Source organism: Homo sapiens, chromosome 5, assembly GCF_000001405.40.
Source record: "Homo sapiens chromosome 5, GRCh38.p14 Primary Assembly".
NCBI lineage: Eukaryota > Metazoa > Chordata > Mammalia > Primates > Hominidae > Homo > Homo sapiens.
The window spans coordinates 36,970,105-36,990,657 of NC_000005.10; the positions used below are offsets into that span (position 1 = coordinate 36,970,105).

The 20,553-nt window shown below is 33.0% G+C and overlaps 1 protein-coding gene across 8 annotated transcripts in view; it reads left to right on the forward strand.

The window, feature by feature from the left end:
- NIPBL (NIPBL cohesin loading factor) overlaps nucleotides 1-20,553 on the forward strand; it is a 189,645-nt gene that overhangs the window by 93,336 nt on the left and 75,756 nt on the right. For 7 of the 8 annotated variants that reach the window (NM_001438586.1, NM_133433.4, XM_017009329.2 and 4 more), the window contains exons 7-10: nucleotides 772-932; nucleotides 1,841-1,937; nucleotides 5,672-6,298; nucleotides 14,572-16,197. In NM_001438586.1, the coding sequence (NP_001425515.1) occupies nucleotides 772-932; nucleotides 1,841-1,937; nucleotides 5,672-6,298; nucleotides 14,572-16,197 (2,511 nt within the window). Of the gene's footprint in view, nucleotides 1-771; nucleotides 1,748-1,840; nucleotides 1,938-5,671; nucleotides 6,299-14,571; nucleotides 16,198-20,553 lie in introns of those variants that run through there. The other variant, XM_005248282.6, reaches the window with a different exon arrangement.

Genomic DNA, 20,553 nt, shown 5'->3' on the forward strand with positions numbered 1-20,553 from the left:
CCAGGCACAGTGGCTCACATCTACCTGTAATCCCAGTGCTTTGGGAGGCTAAGGCAGAAGGATCATTTGAAGCCAGGAGTTTGAGAGCAGCCTGGGCAACATAGCAAGACCCCATCTCTACCAAAAAAAGAAAAAGCCAGATGTGGTGGCAGTTTCCTGTAGTCCTAGCTACTCAGAAGGCTAAGGCAAGAGGATCACTTGAACCCAGGAGTTTGAGGTTACAGTGAGCTATGATCATGCCAGTGAACTCCAGTCTAGGTAACAGAGCTGTCTGTAAAAAAAATAAATAAATAAAAGAATTTAAAACTATATATATATATATATATAAAATCTCAGTATAATATTAAATGGAAAAACAAGTTATATAAGGATAGATACATATATCATCTATATAAAATTATAATGTAAAAACAACACAATGAATTACTTAGGAATATATTCATGCATAGCAAAGGTATAAAGATAACACATAGGCAGAATAAACTCAGATCAAAATAGTGGTTACCTCTAGGGAGTAAAAGGAAAGGAATAGAGGAGAGAAATAACAGATAAATGGAGATCTTCAACTATATTTGTAATGTTTTAGTTCTTTTCAAAAATAGATTGGAATCTGGCAGAGTGTTAAGATTTGATGAAACTAGTCAGTACATGAGTATCTGTTATATTATTCTCTGTAATTTCTATATGCTTAAAATATTTGTGAATAATTACTATTCTCCAAGAATGTTAAGAATCTTTTATTAAACCTTTTTTTATTCTTATTAATTTCAGCATCGGTATCAAGTCCCATTGTTGCAGGTGGTTTGAGAAACATACATGATAATAAAGTTTCTGGTCCGTTGTCTGGCAATTCAGCTAATCATCATGCTGATAATCCTAGACATGGTTCAAGTGAGGACTACCTACACATGGTGCACAGGCTAAGTAGTGACGTATGTAATATATTATCATTAAGGTGATAAAATAGTTCTAATATTTGTCATATAACCTAGTATTTCCATTTCAAAATTTGAATGATACCTACCGTATATCATTATACTGGGTACTGAGTACAACATGGCTCCTGCACATACAGAGCTTAGTCTAGAGCAGGATTGGTCAAGTGTGACCAGTAGCCTGAACCACAAAGTGAGAATGGTTTTTACATTTATAAAGAGTTATTTAAAAAAAAAAAAATGTGATAGAGACTGTATGTGGCCCACAGAGCCTAAAATATTTATTCTCTGTTCCTTTATAATGAAAAGTTGGCTGACCCCTGACCTTGAGGTTTAGGTTCTTAATGAAATATTTCAGTTTTAGGTTAATACTGCTCACACTAAAATTTTTTTTTTTTTAGATAATGAGCCTGTATTTATTAGTACTTGACTCTTTTTCCCTCTGATACTTGTACAAAGTTTTGTGTCTGAAATTTAATATTGCCTTGATGTTATTAAAATATTCCACATTCTGGAAATTTGCCTTGTTATTGATTTGATTGTAATTTATGTAAGCTGCATGTGTCTAAGGATAACACAGATGACAATAAACTCTGCCCTCAAGTCATTTACCACCTGGTAGAGTATTCATAGCTCCTTTTGTAGAAAAAAGCAAACAAAAATGGAGCATACTAGTAATACAAATTTTCTTATTCATTGCCATGCTTAGGCTGTTGATTCTTTTGGATACAATTTCAATTCTTCTAAGATATACCAAGAAGAAAACAGGAAAGTGCAGAAGAATTATGCTTTTGAATTCCAACACTTTACCTGTCAGTAATTTATGTCTCTTATTGGTTCTCTTTTAAGATTTCTATAAAGCCTCTCCTGTCATTCAAAAGATAAATTGTATACTCTATTTTTAGGATGGAGATTCTTCAACAATGAGGAATGCTGCATCTTTTCCCTTGAGATCTCCACAGCCAGTATGCTCCCCTGCTGGAAGTGAAGGAACTCCTAAAGGTACTACTGTAACTAAAATTTCCTTCTGTATATTTTATATTTGAAGTTGAATAAAGAACTCAGACTTCCTAAAGCAGATATTAAAAAGTTATTCTGTATTTTTTTTTCATTGTAGAAAAAAAAATAAACCTGTACAAGCAGGTCTGGATCATGGGATTTAAATCTGTCCCTATTCATTGATTCATTTATCTTCCACTTACCCAGTAATCTGTTGATAGTATTCTCGGATACATCCAGTATCCATTCTCTTTAATAAATCCAGTGGTCTTTTCAAACCACAACGTTCTTCTCTTAAACATTTGAAAATTTTGATCAGCTTTCCTCTTTCCTCCAAAAAGACTTATTTCATATGAGCCCATCTGTTTTTCTCCCACTTCTTTCATTGATACTTTTTTTCTTCATTAGCTCCTCTCCTTATTCTTATTCTTCTCAAGATTTCTATTATTAGACCTTTTATCACTCATTGTACTTTTTTCCCTGGCCGTTTTATTAAGTTTCATTAACAGCATTGATTATTTTCATGCATAAGACTCCTAAATCAATCTTTGGCTCCAGTCTTGTCTCCCAAGTTCTAATTCTTCATTTCCAGACAAAACTTCCTTCATACCTAGCGGATATTTCCAATTCATCTTCAAAATGGTTTTCACTGTTCTTTCTACCATCCCATCTGTCTTAATGCTATTCCAGTCCTGAATCATTGTAACTTAAAAATTTTAAGTTATCATAAAGCCTCTTTTCAACTATTTAGTCATTTATCAAATCTAACCTGTTCTGTTAATTTTTAAATCTCTCACGTCTACTTTTATCTCTGCCTTTTAAAATTCTTTTATTCCAGATCTAAGTTAAATGGGTGATCTTCCATGGGCCCTCCCCTAATCTCCTCAAGCTATTAGTTTATATTTTTTGTAAGAACTTTTACTACTTTATGCACACGAATTTCAGTTTATCTTTGAATTTTCAAAGAACCTTGCATGGTCTTCTATCTGTAACAGATTCACAAAATTGTGAATTTAAGTCCAGGTTTGAGCCAGTTTTTAAAATACTTAAAATTGTAGTCAAATAGCTTTAATTATCAGTTTGTTGGAAGAGAAAACTGTCTTCTACTTTTTAAAATTAGCTTATAATTAATTTTAACATAGCTGGTAATATATTCTCTCAAGTAATGAGAATTTCTAATTATAGCCATCTGAAACATAAAGATATTTTACCTCGTATCTGCTTCATATGGTAAAGATCTTTTTTTCACTGATTGTGTTCGTACTATTTATCAAGGACATTTTTCTTTTTTTTTTTCAAAAATTTTTTAAAAATTTTATTTTATTTTACTTTAAGTTCTGGGATACATGTGCAGAATGTGCAGGTTTGTTACATAGGTATACATGTGCCATAGTGATTTGCTGCACCTATCAACCCGTCATCTAGGTTTTTTTTCTTTCTTTCTTTTGAGACAGAGTCTCGCACTGTCACCCAGGCTGGAGTGCAGTGGCATGATCTCGGCTCACTGCAATCTCCACCTCCCGGGTTCAAACGATTCTCCTGCCTCAGCCTCCTGAGTAGCTGGGATTACAGGCACATGCCACCACGCCCGGGTGATTTTTTTTGTATTTTTAGTAGAGACAGGGTTTCACCATGTTGGTCAGGCTGGTCTCGAACTCCTGACCTCGTGATCTGCCCGCCTCGGCCTCCCAAAGTGCTGGGATTACAGGCGTGAGCCACCACACCAGGCTTGTCGTCTAGGTTTTAAGCCCCGCCTGCATTATGTATTTGTCCTAATGCTCTCCCACTTCTTGCCCCCTACCCTCCAACAGGCCCTGGTGTGTGATATTCCCCTCCCTGGGTCCATGTGTTTTCATTGTTCAGCTCCCACTTAAGAGTGAGAACCTGCGGTGTTTGGTTTTCTATCAAGGACATTTTTCATAGAGTGAAAGTTGAGCTGTTATGAGCCATTTCAATTCTGTAAATTGTATGAATTTTCAGGGATAAAAACCCGGCTTCTGAAAGAGAGAAAAACTTCCAGAGTAACTATTTGTAGGTTAGATACATATCCCACAAGTGTTGTCAAGGTGAGAAGTTATTTAGATTGCCGGGGAAAGAGAACAGGGAGATAGGTGATTGATCTAGATAACTAGCTTTTTTTCTTCTGACTCTTGAGATTAGATAGATAAATAGTAGATGAACTTTAGATAGAAATGGAAAACTTTAAAACAAATAACCTCACTAATATATTATTCACCAAAAGCTTGAACTTCTGTCATGAAGTTGTTTTCTAACTAGTTTTGAAGGGTAAGTGCATTGTCAGTCTATCTTGATTTTTAGATTAATTATTAGAATTTGAAGTTTGTTCTAAAGTGTATATAATTTGCCACATAGAATTTAAATACAAAGGCATAATGGTATATTACAATTCAGACTTAGACAAATCTTGTTTTAAATCTTCAGGTTTGTTAACTACATAACCTTGGGCAAATTTCTTAACCTCTGTAGGCTTCATGTTCCATTTCTGAAAAATTTTAAAGATAATACTCAAGAATGTTGTAAAAATCAAGTGAATTGATATGTAAAGCACCTTTCACAACTCTGACACAAAATGTTAGACTAACATTTATAGTTAATTGCTCCCATATCATCTTTATCACACTAGAGTCAATAAATAAAGTTGTATGTTTATATATAACATTTAAAATACATTAACCTTGCTAACTGAAAGTCCAGATTTATGTATCATGGAAAAAGACTGAAAGCTTAATTGAAGGCAGTTCTAGGTTTAAGTTCTGTCTGTAAAAAAACTTTTATCTTGACCAATTTTTACAATTTCTTACAAGTTTTTAAATATTTTATAGTTTAGTGATAAGAAATGTATACATTATTCAGATGCAGTTATACTATTATTTCTGAAGCATATCAATGCACTTTTTCCTTCATGTCTGAAGGAGAATTTTTGTCTGAAGGCTTATTAACTAGGATAATTTTTCCATCTGATTATTTTTAACACTTTCCTGTTTCATATAACATTGGTTGATTTAATGGACTCTGGGCTCAATATATTTTATTGGGCCTTGAAATTTACTGAACTTATTTATTTTTCTAATAAAAAGAGGATTAGCAAGCTGAAGAGAGTATGTGAATGATGTTAAGGGAGAAAGAGAAGACCACATAAAAGTATAAATCAATATTTTACCACCAGTTTTTGAAGTAAGTAAAGGCTCTAGTAATTGTAAATTGACCACTTGCTTTTTGTTATCATCCCAGTAGTATTCATGTAAGATAGTCTCTAGGATTAAATTGTTATTTTTGTGTAATTTAACAAAAGCGTACTTATTCTTACTTTAATCAGGATATATCTGTTTTCCCAGATAGTCCATGAAAGAACAGAGATGGTCATACCCAAAATATTTGTGTTGTATCATCTTTAGAAGCAATGAACTTTTTACCCCTATAAAGCTAAATATGTATACTTTATAGGCACAAAAATATAGAAATAATACTGGTCTGAAAAATTGAATACTCATACTTAGATTCAAACCTAGATTTTAGATTAACTACTAGCAAGCTAAACAACTGTGTGGGACAAGTTTTTAAGCTTTCTTTTCATCTTTCGTAAATAAGTAGCTTGGATTATATAATTTCTTATTTTTTTCTAGTATTACTATATTGTCACTTATTAATATTTCTATCACATTGTAAGAAAATGTGAAACCACCACAACTGTTACTTCTATCGAATTATTTTTCTAGGCTCAAGACCACCTTTAATCCTACAATCTCAGTCTCTACCTTGTTCATCACCTCGAGATGTTCCACCAGATATCTTGCTAGATTCTCCAGAAAGAAAACAAAAGAAGCAGAAGAAAATGAAATTAGGCAAGGATGAAAAAGAGCAGAGTGAGAAAGCGGCAATGTATGATATAATTAGTTCTCCATCCAAGGACTCTACTAAACTTACATTAAGACTTTCTCGTGTAAGGTCTTCAGACATGGACCAGCAAGAGGATATGATTTCTGGTGTGGAAAATAGCAATGTTTCAGAAAATGATATTCCTTTTAATGTGCAGTACCCAGGACAGACTTCAAAAACACCCATTACTCCACAAGATATAAACCGCCCACTAAATGCTGCTCAATGTTTGTCGCAGCAAGAACAAACAGCATTCCTTCCAGCAAATCAAGTGCCTGTTTTACAACAGAACACTTCAGTTGCTGCAAAACAACCCCAGACTTCTGTGGTACAGAATCAACAACAGATATCACAACAGGGACCTATATATGATGAAGTGGAATTGGATGCATTGGCTGAAATTGAGCGAATAGAGAGAGAATCAGCTATTGAAAGGGAGCGCTTCTCAAAAGAAGTTCAAGATAAAGGTAAAATAATCTCATTATTACCACTTCATCATCTGGGCAAATATGTAATTATAGTGTCAAAAATTTTTTTCACATTACTTTTTTCCCGAATATTTTGTATAATTTATGTCTACTCAAGTACATATTTTTATTACTAATACTCATAATGCAGAAGTTAAATTCGTAACAATTTCATTTATTGTCTGAAACAACTATATGAGATTTGGTAATTCTCTACTACAGGTCTGTTACTCATTATGTACTATATGATTTTACTTATTTGTGCTTTTCTGCTAAAATGAACATTAGCATTTCTATATAACATGTATATTTCACAAGTTACATTAATATTGTTGTGCACCTTCAAATTTTTTTCTGCTAAAACAAGGTTAACCACTGTAGAATTATTTTGAACAGGTACACTTAAGAAAAGCTCATGTGTATGCTTATTAGGCAGTTAGATATTTCACTTGGTTTATGATCCTACTGGCTTAATAATGTCAAATTTTTTTAGTAAACAAATCATGGAAAGAGTTAATATTAAATAGCAAACCTTAGAAATTAAGAGTCTTTTGGTGGTAATTACAGTGAAGTGTTCCCTTTTGTCTGACTAGTATGTTAGGATGGAGTTTCAAGACATACCTGGTCTATGAGTTTATGAGCTTTCCTTGCGCTTCATAATCAAACAAAAATAAATTCATAGTAAGTTCTTAGTAATTTGGTATACACTGTATACAAAATTTCTTTCATGTTTTAAGAGACTGATGAATCAGTGATTCAAATTAGCAATATAATTGATGAATTTGATTGCTATATAAATGCATATACACATTTGATCAGACCAAAAGCATGCTTTATGATTTAATTTTATGATTAAAATATTTTAGGTTGATTTTCAGTTCTTATATTTTATTTCTTGGTAATGATAAAACTTCTTGATATTGGGTAGAGCTGATTTTTATATATGATGTGTTCAGTGTTTGACAGGATCATGACAAGATAATTGTGTTTCTATGCTAAGAAACATGCTGAAGATTAGTATTATATTTCCTGTCTGTCATGATGGCTCATTTTAATGTTATTGAAAAAAAATGGACTGTATTTAGTAATTGTTGTACTACAATGTTTGCAACATATGTAAATCAGAAATAGATGCAAATAAAGAGATTGCTAGAAGTCTTCATTTTACTGGCTAGGGAGCTGGGTTTTTTTTTCTTTGTCTTTTTTTTTTTTTAATATAGATTCAGGGGATATATGTACAGGGGTTTGTTACGTGGGTATATTGTGTGGTGGTGAGATTTGGGCTTGTAGTGAACCCGTCACCCAAATAGTGATCATAGTACCCATTAGATAGTTTTTCAACCTTGGCTTCGTCCCTTTTTCCCCCTTTTTGAGTCCCCTGTGTCTGTTGTTTCTAACTTTATGTCCGTGTGTACCCATTGTTGAATTCCCACTTATAAGTGAGAACCTGTAGTGTTTCATTTTCTGTTTCTGCATTATTTCACTTAGGGTAGATAATGGCCTCAAACTGCATCCATGTTGCTGCAGAGGACATGATTTCATTCTTCTTTATGATTGTGTACCACGGTGTATATATACCACATTTTGTTTATCCAGTCCACTCCTGATGGACGCTTAGGTTGATTCTGTAACTTTGCTATTGTAAATAGTGCTGTGATAAACATATGAGTGCAGGTGTCTTTTTTATAAAGTAATTTTTTTCCCTATGGATAGAAACCCAGTAGTGGGATTACTAGGTCAAATGGTAGTTCTATTTTTTGTTCTTTGAGAAATCTCCATACTGTTTTTCATAAGGGTTGAACTAATTTACATTCCCACCAACAGTGTGTAAGTGTTCCCTTTTCTCTGCAGCCTCTGTTATTTTTTGACTTTTTAGTAATAGCCATTCTGACTGGTGTAAGATTGTATCTCATTGTGGTTTAATTTGCATTTCTCTGATGATTAATGATATTGAGCATTTTTTAAAATGTTTGTTGGCTGTGTGTACATCTTCTTTTGAGAAGTGTCTGTTCATGTCTTTTGCCCACTTTTTAGTGGGTTGTTTTTTTCTTGTTGATTTGAGTTCTTTATAGATTCTCAGTATTAGACCTTTGTTGGATGCATAGTTTGTAAATACTTTCTCTCATTCTCTAGGTTGTCTGTTTACTCTGCTATGGTTTCTTTTGCTGTACAGAAACTCTTTAGTTTAATTAAGTCCCATTTGTCAATTTTTCTTTGTGTTGTTTTTGCTTTTTAGGTCTTAGTCATAAATTCTTTAATTAGGACAATGTCCCAAAAGAGTTTTTTGCAGGTTTTCTTCTAGGATTTTTATTGTTTGAGGTCTTACAGTTACATATTTAATTCATCTTGAGTTAATTTTTGTATAGGTGAGAGGCAGGAGTCCCGTCTCGTTCTTCTGCTTATGGCTAGCCAGTTTTCCCAGCACCATTTATTGAATAGCGTGTACTTTTTCCATTGTTTATTTTTGTCAACTTTGTTGGAGATCAGTTGTTTTTAGGTATGTGGCTTTATTTCTGGGTTCTCTATCCTGTTCCATTGATCTGTGTGCCTATTTTTATACCAGTACCATGCTGTTTTGCTTACTCTAGTCTTGCAGTGTAGTTTGAAGTTTCCTAATATGATGCCACCAGCTTTATTCTTTTTGCTGAGGATTGCTTTGGCTATTCAGGTTCTTTGTTGGTTTTATATAAATTTTAGGATAGTTTTTCCAGTTCTTTGAAAAATTACGTTGGTAGTTTGATAGGAATAGTGTTGAATCTGTAGATTACTTTGGGCAGTATAGTCAGTTTTAACAATATTGATTCTTCCTATCCATGACCATGGAATGTTTTTGATTTGTTTGTGTTATCTATGATTTATTTTATCAGTGTTTTGTAGTTGTCCTTGTAAAGCTCTTGCAACTCCTTGTTTAAATGTATTCCTAGGTATTTTATTTTGTGTGTGTGGCTATTGTAAATGAGATTGAGTTCTTGATTTGGTTCTCAGCTCGAACGTTATTGGTGTATAGACATGCTACTGATTTTGGTACAATTATTTTGTATCCTAAAGCTTTATTGAAGTTATCAGGTCTATGAATCTTTTGGAGGAATTTTTAGGGTTTTCTAAGTATGGGATCATGTCATCAGTGAACAGAGATAATTTGACTTCCTCTTTTCCTATTTGGATGCCTAATATTCCTTTGTCCTGCCTGATTGCTCTGGGTAGGACTTCTGGAATTTTTTTTTAAACTGGTAAAGTTTTGATATTAAGGGTGAAATGTTGCTTGTACCTCTTCTCTTTAGTTTGCAGTATGAGGTTCAGGAAATAAATATATAGGTTCCAAATTATATCTCTTCCTCTAACCTGTTATAAAAGTATACGCATATCAAATGAAAAAAGTAATATTACTCAGCTTTTCTTATTAACCTGTTCAAAATTCCTGAATCTTAGGATAGCCAGTTTTGCAGGAAACATACAATATCACAATTCCCTGACCAAGAAATATTAGTTGCCCTGATAACTGAATTTTTTGCATGACGTTAAATCTGTATTATGGAAAAATGTGTTCTTGAAAAAGAATGTACTTTTTAAGTGAATTTTAATAGATGTTGATAGTAACAAAAACAGAGGAGGAATGGTGACCTTTTTTTTATGTATCATGTTTGTTGAATCCAAAGTTTCTACTTATAAAAATGGAATTAAAATAAGGGTCATATATAGTTCTAATTGCATATTAGCAAACTTATTTTATACTGCGAACTTTCCTTTGGAAAAATAGAACAAAGTCAACAGATACAACATACTGTTCTTGTAGAAACTTGTATATTTTATTTTCAATTATCTAAATAGTTTTTTCTGTAATCTGTGATGGCATAGTTAACAGATAACTGAAAAGTTGAATGAGCAGAGTTGACATTCAATTTTGGTGAAAATACAGGTATGCGGTGATAACCTGAGGATTAAAGTAGGTTTTGCTGATTTCATATTATTGTTGTCATTTCTAACTTGTTTCCTGAAAGCCACTTTCCTCTTATTTCGTGGATTTATAGTCACGTATCACATAATGATGTTTCATTTCACACCAGACTTTATATACAATGGTGGTCCCATAAAAATATAATATTGTATATTTACTCTACCTTTTTTATGTTTAGATATGTTTTAGATACACAGATGCTTACCATTGTGTTACAGTTGCCTACAGTATTCAGTATAGTAACATGCTGTACAGGTTTATAGCCTGGGAGCAATAAGCTATACCATATAGCCTAGGTACATAGTAGGCTATATCATCTAGGTTTATGTGAATATACTATATGATGTTCACGTAACAGAGACACCTCCTAACAATGCATTTCGCAGAATGTATCCTGTTGTTAAGCAATACATGAAATACATGACCGCATTTGAAAACTTTTGGAACTTAGATGCCACCTAACCCTTTTGATTTGAACTTGGCATATTGCATTCAGTTTCTGCATTGTGTGATGGGATGGTATTTGTTATATAAGAAGTTACCTTGAGATTTTGAGATGATTAAAGGTGTGTATATTGGTCCAAGGGTGTAGGTGAGGTCATAAATAAAAGCAAAATTCTTCTGAAGTGGTGGTTTTAGAGCCCTTAAGAGATGAAATACTTCCTTGAAATTAATTTGTCCCAGTTACCATTATTTTTACTTATTAAAGACTAAATGTTAAAGTGGACATTTAATATATTCAAACATTTGGCACTGAGGACTTTTTTACAACTGTTGTATTACTACTGGTGATATGGAGCAGGCAGGACTATTTGTCTGGCCTACTAGTTGCACTTTAGGATATGAGTTTGTTTGCCAATATATTCGTTTACTGTGAGAGAAATATTCCACTCAATAACCAGAAATCAAAAACACTGTACCTTATAAGTAAGATTAGAAAGTTCAACAAATGTAGAATATTTGTGGAATTCAAGTAAAGGGATAGAATAATCTTAAGAAATGTTTTACCTAGGCTGTGGTAGACCCTATTGTACCCTTGTTCCGCAGAAGAAAGACATTTTTCTAGCCGCTAGGTATTTATGTCCCTTTGTCCTGTTCTCTCTTCTTTGAGCAGTTCTGTATATACGTTGATAAGGCAACTTTGTAACCTAATATTTTATAATATTCCAAAAGGACCCTTTTCTCAATCTTTTTGCTCATACTTTTAGTGTCTCTAATTACATAAATTAATTTTAAAAGGCTATTCATCTTTCTTTGCTTCTGGGATGACCTGTCATTAGATATTAATACCTTTTTCATGTGCTGAAAATTTCTGCTTTCTTTTGTCAAAGAGGGGGTTCCTTTGTTCATCTTTGCCTATTTCATCTTTTCCCAAGGTCCACTTTCCATGTTAGCAAGTATAAGGAATGGCTCAGCTTCACTAATGTTTTTATAATGTTACAATATTCTTGCACTATAGCCCTTGTTAAAAGTCAATGATTACCTACTGTCATTTGGAATAAGAGACCGGGATTTTGGTACAAGGAATAGGACAATTAGCCACTCAGCCTGTATTGTGGTTGAGGGGTGGTGTGTTTTCATTTTACATAATTGGCTACCATGTATACACAATTATTGTGCTTTCTGCTTTAAGTGTTTTCATTTATCACTTGTAGATTTAAGTAAGTGGTATAGTTTGTTTTTCTTGTAAGCGTAATTGAGTTTAGAATTTCTGTAAGGGCTGCATCTTATTTTGAGAATATCAGCATCTGGATGACAAGTGTTGGTTTTGAGATTATGATAATCCTTTTGTATGCATTTTCTTTAGGAATATATGTATTCTGATAGCTAATCTTATGGTTCCCAGTGCTGAAGAGGGCTTACAGGTAATCACTGTCCTAAATACCAAAATGATTCTTCATAGAGATGGCTTTCCATGATTATTAGGTGGTTATGATGTAATGAAGACTCATAACAAAAGTGGGTGGACAAAAGTGACCTGTACAGATTCAGAGCTGCTTTATAAGGAGTAAGTTCATGGTGGAATTGAATCAGACCAAGTGAATCAGAACATACATGCTCTTGACATACCTAAGAATCCTTGTCACAGTAATGAAAATTTTCCAGGTTTTACAGGAGTAAAGTACTTTTCAGTAGTTGAACGATTAAAATTTTGTATTTAACAGCATTTTGTATATACTGAAAAACAATGGTAAGATGTTTCCCAATCTTAATTACTTGTGTGCAAATACTTTCATACATTTTTTATTATAAATAATCATAGGATTCATAGTTTAAATAAAATATATCATTTCTTTGAAATTAACTTACTGTATTTGCTAAATTTTCATTTTAATGTCTTTACGTAAATTGGATTGAGGTTAATAATATATAAACTCTTGAGTATTTTGTAATCCTTTAAAAATCAGCCCTCTAAGCTATGTTAATGTTTTTCTGAAGACTGTGCATAAAAGAGTCAGCCATAGATATCTTAAATCTTCAGATGCCTGAGACCTATGTCGTTGTGTATCTTAAGTATGATTGATTAGTCTACCATTTTAATTATTTTTACAAAGCATATTTCCTCAAAAATATAGAAATCTTAGGTTATATTTTTTGAATTTCTAGAGTCTTATAAAAGTTTAAGGGATAAGCATAAATTGATAAAGCATCTTATTCATGAGATATCAATTGGTTTGCCCTGTGGCAGAACATAAAGATGATTTTTGAATGGCAGAACATTCTAAAAGAGGATTCTATAAACATAAATTTAGTATTCTGATTTCTTTTTTAAGGTATTGATGTAGAAAACTTCCTATAAATTCTTACCATGTTAGTTTTAACTGGTGGAAACAATCTAATGATAATATATTATACTTTAGAATTAAAATGGTAGTGTTTTGCAAATGGAGCATGTGTGGTGATAGATTTGACTGGACAACTGAAGGAGCAGAAGGACTTAGTTTTACAAAATATAACTAACAAATATCTTAAGTAAATTGCGGTTATATTTGATTAGATTTTAAACTGGCAAGAACTGCTACTTCCCACTTTAAAAAGAAAACAGTGGAACTTTGCTATATAGAAGAAGCATTACCATTAGGAAAAAAAAATCACAACTTGGTTCTCTAACAATAAGGAGCCATTTTTCAGTTGTCAGTTTGACTTTTAACCTTGTGATACCATCTTCCTTATATGATATATCACATTAGTGAATATTGCAAGAGAATCTAGAGATTGCCTTGTTAAAATAAATAACAGTGACTTTTAAAACATACTCAAGCAATTCAGCAAATAAACAAAAGGAAGCCAAACCTCAAGGTGCTATAATGTAACCATTCCCAAGACCTAACTGGAGATTTAATTTATAGAAAATGACTAGCTCCCTCTTAAGTCAGAAATGGAATCATACACAGAAATATATAGATGTTAAAAATACCTTCACATTTTATTGTAATGGTGAATTTGTGTTTGTGTGTGTGTTTGTCTTTACATTTCATAATACTGTAAATTATTTCTTTCTGAGACCAGAATGGATCCCAGAACATTATAACTTTATATCGAAGAGTAGGAACTGTTTCCTTCAGTGGAAGTTGCTTAAGACAGGATTCTAATTTATACCTATTGCTCCCTGATTTTAAATTTTCTATACCTATGAAATCTGTTGCTTCCTTATTTTAAATTTACTTCTATCTAACATTGTGGTTAACTTTTAAACTCCTTTCACACTTTTAACACTTCAAAGAATTTGAATTATTGATTAAAGTTAAATGACAAATTATTAAATTCTTTTTTTAAATTCATTTTTTCCCAATGGCATGGTATATATTTTCTTTCTTTTTTTTCCATACTTATCTTAGATACAGTAAAAACTTATATTTCCTGTTTGGTATATTGGCAGATTTGGAGCTCTTTATGGTTTTTGGCTAACAGTTAAAAGTAACCTGAGTGAGACTTTATGATTTGTAACTGGTTGCTTTATTATTAGGAAAAGAATCTGATTTATCCGTGACATCTATGAACATAAATATATGTTTGTATTTGGTACATTATAAGTTCTATTCATTTTATATTCTTACACTTATTTATATCCTTAAAGAGTATGCAGTTAAATTCTTTTTACTATATTTATTGAGATCTCTCAAGCATATTTCTTCAAACCTTACCTTTCAAAGTATTGTGTCATTCATGCTTACTATTTTATGTGTACATATTTGCATTTGCATTTTACTCCATTTTAAAAACATAACCTTAAAAAGATAAACAACGTCCATAGGGTTTTTAATAAGATAAGAATACATGTCTATTACTGATATTGATATTTATCTTTAAATTTCAGATAAGCCTTTGAAAAAAAGAAAACAAGATTCTTACCCACAGGAGGCTGGGGGTGCTACAGGAGGTAATAGACCAGCTTCTCAGGAGACGGGTTCTACGGGAAATGGGTCAAGGCCAGCATTAATGGTTAGCATTGATCTTCATCAGGCAGGAAGAGTGGACTCTCAGGCTTCTATAACTCAGGATTCAGACTCCATAAAAAAGCCTGAAGAAATCAAACAATGTAATGATGCACCTGTTTCTGTTCTTCAGGAAGATATTGTTGGAAGTCTTAAATCTACACCAGAAAACCATCCTGAGACACCTAAAAAAAAGTCTGATCCTGAGCTTTCAAAGAGTGAAATGAAACAAAGTGAAAGTAGATTAGCAGAATCTAAACCAAATGAAAACCGATTGGTGGAGACAAAATCAAGTGAAAATAAGTTAGAAACTAAAGTTGAGACCCAAACAGAAGAACTTAAACAGAATGAGAGCAGAACAACTGAATGCAAACAAAACGAGAGCACCATAGTTGAGCCTAAACAAAATGAAAATAGACTGTCTGACACAAAACCAAATGACAACAAACAAAATAATGGCAGATCAGAAACAACAAAATCAAGGCCTGAAACCCCAAAGCAAAAGGGTGAAAGCCGGCCTGAGACTCCAAAACAAAAGAGTGATGGGCATCCTGAAACCCCAAAACAGAAGGGTGATGGAAGGCCTGAAACTCCAAAGCAAAAAGGTGAGAGCCGCCCTGAAACTCCAAAGCAAAAAAATGAAGGGCGACCTGAAACACCAAAACACAGGCATGACAATAGGAGGGATTCTGGAAAGCCATCTACAGAGAAAAAACCTGAAGTGTCTAAACATAAACAAGATACTAAATCTGACTCACCTCGGTTAAAATCAGAACGAGCTGAAGCCTTAAAGCAGAGACCTGATGGGCGATCTGTTTCTGAGTCACTAAGACGTGACCATGATAATAAACAAAAATCAGATGACAGGGGTGAATCAGAGCGACATCGAGGGGATCAGTCTAGGGTTCGAAGACCAGAAACATTGAGATCCTCTAGTAGAAATGAACATGGCATTAAATCTGATAGTTCAAAAACTGATAAACTAGAACGAAAACACAGGCATGAATCAGGGGACTCAAGGGAAAGACCATCTTCTGGGGAACAAAAATCAAGACCTGACAGTCCTCGTGTTAAACAAGGAGATTCTAATAAATCAAGATCTGATAAACTTGGTTTTAAATCACCAACTAGTAAAGATGACAAAAGGACAGAGGGTAACAAGAGTAAAGTAGACACTAATAAAGCACACCCTGACAATAAGGCAGAATTTCCAAGTTATTTGTTGGGGGGCAGGTCTGGTGCGTTGAAAAATTTTGTCATTCCGAAAATCAAGAGGGATAAAGATGGCAATGTTACTCAGGAGACAAAGAAAATGGAAATGAAAGGAGAGCCGAAAGACAAAGTAGAAAAAATAGGATTAGTTGAAGATCTAAATAAAGGAGCTAAGCCTGTAGTTGTGCTACAAAAACTGTCTTTGGATGATGTTCAGAAACTTATTAAAGATAGAGAGGACAAATCAAGAAGTTCCCTTAAACCTATCAAGAATAAACCATCAAAGTCAAATAAAGGTAAGAATACTTCTACTGATGTCATTTATAATATAATCGATTTTAAGTGTTAAGATTACTAAGTTTTAAAAAGGAAATTTACAAAAATTAGAAAGCTACTACATGAAAATATAACATTTATGTCAAACAACAGGAAATTTTTTTCAGGAGTATAGATAAAAAGTTTCCAGTGAATTTTTTTTTCCCCACAGTTTTTTTCTTCCCACCCACTACTCAAGGTAGTTATGAATGTTACTGCTATTTGGTTACACAGAGATAAGTTATTTTGCTGTTTAGTTATTTCTTATATTTCTGAAATATGCTTAAGTGAATGTTGTATTAAAATAGCTGTCTTTAAAAACTCTCTATTTAAAAATGTCTTACAATACTACATTCTTACAGACCTGTGTCTGAGCCAATTATTGATGAATAATTTGTATAGTTTAGAAAGTTATATAAAAGGTTATTTTTCATTTTGTTGGGGAGATGGTTAGTTAAATATGTTTTATATTTTTAAAACATATCTTTTTGTCCTTGTTTATGCAAAGGTAATAGGGAATGGTACTTACTTTTTAAATTTGGTTAAATTGTAAGTTTGTGGGAGGCGGGGGACTGGTGTTATTTTTGCATGGTTTCTGAATTCTCTGGTTACTTGAGTAAAATTATTTCCAAAGGGAGAAGAATGTCTTAAGTGCCAAAAGATAATGGCCATTTGTGCAGAAGATATACTTCTGTATCCCTTTGTACACAAGTATTTAAAATAACTTTTTTTATTTTTAAATAGAGATGGGGTCTTGCTTTGTTGACCAGGCTGGTTTCGAACTCCTGGCCTCAAGTGATCCTCTCCTCTCAGCCTCCCAAAGTGCTGGGATTACAGGCGTGAGCCACCGTGTCCATACAGTCTAAATATACTGAGGTGTAGTGAAGGCAATAGAACTGAGAGTTTATTTAAGTTTTCCTTCTGTGAAAGAGAATTATTAAGAATTTAGATTTATACTTATATATAACCAAGTATATGAAATCTGGAATTGCATTGGCCAAGAGGGTAACCATTGCCTTTTTTGGCTATTTAAATTTAAGTTAACTAAAATTGGAAGTTCATTTCATTAGTAGTCACATGTGGCTGTTGGCTACCATATTGGACAAAACAGAACATTTGCATCATCACAAAGTTGTATAGCACTGCAGTGTATTAGGAGATACAAAAAGTGTGTGGTTATTGTTTTTCATAACATGCTGTTGTAGCTTGTCTACCAAGAAAGCTCTTTGAAAACATATTATAAAGAACTCTTTATTCAAAGAATGACTTGTGGCTAATCTGTTGTTATTCTTGCTTGGTCTTCGTCAACATTCATTTTTTCACTGTTAATTTATTTCCTTTTGTCTTACAATAATGAAAAAAGATTGCCTTCTGAGTCGCTAATATTTGTGTTCTTTGAGTGAAGCTTTTAAATTTTAAATTATGGCAATTAGACTTACCAAAAGTCAGTTAAGACATCAGCCTTAATTAATAAGTAGGCTTTTTTATTTAACTTGAATGCATCTTTTCAGAGTTACTTGTTAATATAAAAGAGGTTGTAGAATGTGGGGGTTAACACCACAATTGTTTTCTTTTAGGTAAAAATTTTCTTTAAAATTTTTTAGTGAAAGTTTGGGAGTAGCTTATATTTATAAACTAAAGAGTATGGCTATACAATTTTAGAAGAGTCAGGTGAAAGATGGAAAGTGGTACCCTCTTGTTCCTTTGATCTGGACCATCTTTCTCTCCCTCCCCTCTCAGCTTACCCTAGCCTTGCTTTCTAAACTCTGTTCTAACAAAGAGTCTTTTAAAACTCCTTAAAGAACATCCAGAAGTGAATATAGCTTTTAGTTAGTAATTGGTATATTATTTCACCTGGGTTTTTCACATGCAATAATATTGCCTATGAATATGTTTTTAGCACCAAAATGCGTTTCTGATAGTATACTTTTAATGCAGATGTATATACCTGATATGGTCATGTTAGTATGTAAGTAAGCTATCTGGGTGTCTGCCTATTAGAGTGATGTGTGTGTATGTGTACATGTGCATGTTTGTGTATATATACACATATATTAATGTAACTGCAATTACAGTAACAGTCCTTTTCATCAAAAAATACTATGTCAGTGCTTAGATGCATTTCAGGATGCCGTGTAGCTATCTTTTGGATTAATTTATTTATGTCTTAGGATCCATATCTTTTTTTTTTAGTAATGATCCAATTTTGGTTTTGTTTTAGATTTTTGCTACTCAGTTTAAATAGCAGAGTTGGGTAATTGTGGATTTTTTAAAATTGCATGTATATGAAGCACAGTTGTAGATTACTGACCCTTTGTAGTATATACTGGGATTTTCTTTGGAGATTCACAGAAAATCACATTTTGATGTGTTGATGATTTTCTGAGTAAAGGAGTTAGTCTGAATACTGCTGGGATACTTGTATGGTTGGTTCCTAGGGCCAAAATTGAAGAGCCATAAATTTCCATCTTTTAAATATTTTACCTGATGTTCATATAGAAAATATTCATTCTTTAGGATATATTTTAAGCTGATAAATTTTGATTGTGTGATAGAGGTATAGATTTATTACTCCTAATTTAGATTACTTATTTTTGTCTTTTGTATGAGCATGATAAATGTAAAGTGGCATTGTTACATTTGATTTGATTTCTGTGGCACTATATCTGTATCCCTAGTACCTAACAAAATACTTCATACATAATAAATCATATTTAATGCCTATTGAATGGAGATGATGTTGCCACCATTTTCAGGAAAAGCTTTTGTGTACAGATTAAAATTAGATAATCGTCTTTTATGTTCCCATCAATACACCCTAGCTCAAGAGCTACTTATTTTTCAAATCCTGCTTCCTAAACATTGTTAATAACTCTTCACCCTGTCAACTACCTAGTTTTTTTGTTAAGATCCAAAGAAAACCTGCTTATAGTAATATGTGTTTAATTTTTCTGTCACACTTATTTTGATCTATACTGGGATTAATATTATTCCCATTCTTATCCTGCATTGTTAACTTCCCTATCTTTCCATCACCATGTTTATTCCTTGCCTGGGAGGGGTGGAGGGGGCAGTCAGGCAGTGTAACTGTTTGTAGAATTCTTTTTAAGTTCTTCAAATATCTTCTACTAAAATATACTTCAATCAGTATGTTACATGCCAAAAAATATGTTGTTAAAAATTTTATTAGACTATTACCCTAATGTATAGTGTCTCTAAATTAAAATAATAAAGTTATGAGATCCTTTAAGATTGGCATAATCTCCCAGCATTTTGGGAGGCCAAGGTGGGTGGATCATTTGAGGTCAAGAGTTAGAGACCAGCCTGGCCAACATGGTGAAACCCCACCTCTACTAAAAATACAAAAATTAGTTAGGCACTGTGGCAGGCACTTGGTAGCCCCAGCTACTCAGGAGGCTGAAGCAGGAGAATCGCTTGAACCCAGGAGGAGGAGATTACAGTGAGCTGAGATTGTGCCACTGCACTCCAGCCTGGGTGACAGAGCGAGACTCTGTCTCCAAAAAAAAAAAAAAAAAAAAAAAATTGGCATAATCATCAACTAACACATGCCTTCAGTGTTATTAACAGCTTATTATCAGTAATTACAAACATATTTGATTTTGTTGTTTTTTTTTTTAACTCCAGAGTGTCTCAAAATATCTTTGCTTTATGTCTAAGGAAACCATTTTTTCTTCTCTCTCCCCCTACTTCTTTCCAACTAGTATATCATTCTCCATTGTGTGGACTCAGTGCTTTCAAGAAATATCCGTATTATTTGTTATTTGACATCATCCTTTAAACTGAAGAGTAAAGCAGTTTCTGAAAGTAGTCTTCACTGGGAATGTATCTAGCAGCTTTAATAGTCAATAGCGATTAGCCTATATTGCTCACTTGATGAGCTAATGATTGCAGGCCTTACTAGCGACAGTGATCGCACTTCAGTTATCTACTGTTACAGTTACACTACTAAATGCTGATAACTATCATCAGCTGGTTGCCTTTTACTTAGCACTGAACCAGTCTAGTTAGATGGTGTTTAGGATCCTCAGCTTCTGCAAGTCTGAAAGTATTGTTTCTGAGAGTGAATTTATAGCACAGTTTATTAATTCCTAAATGAGGAATTTTCGGTGTTTTCTTTAAAGTAGATTGTAATATTGAATAATATTTAATGATGCAGTGGAAATTTATTTTGTTTCATTTGTACAGTTTTATAAAATACCTTTCTTAAAAACTCAAATTTTCAGTTTCTGTAAAGATTGATATCAGTGATATCTTTAGGAAATGTTTGGAGAAAGTTTATTACAGAAGTTGGCATAATCTGTATCTAGCTCTTGTGA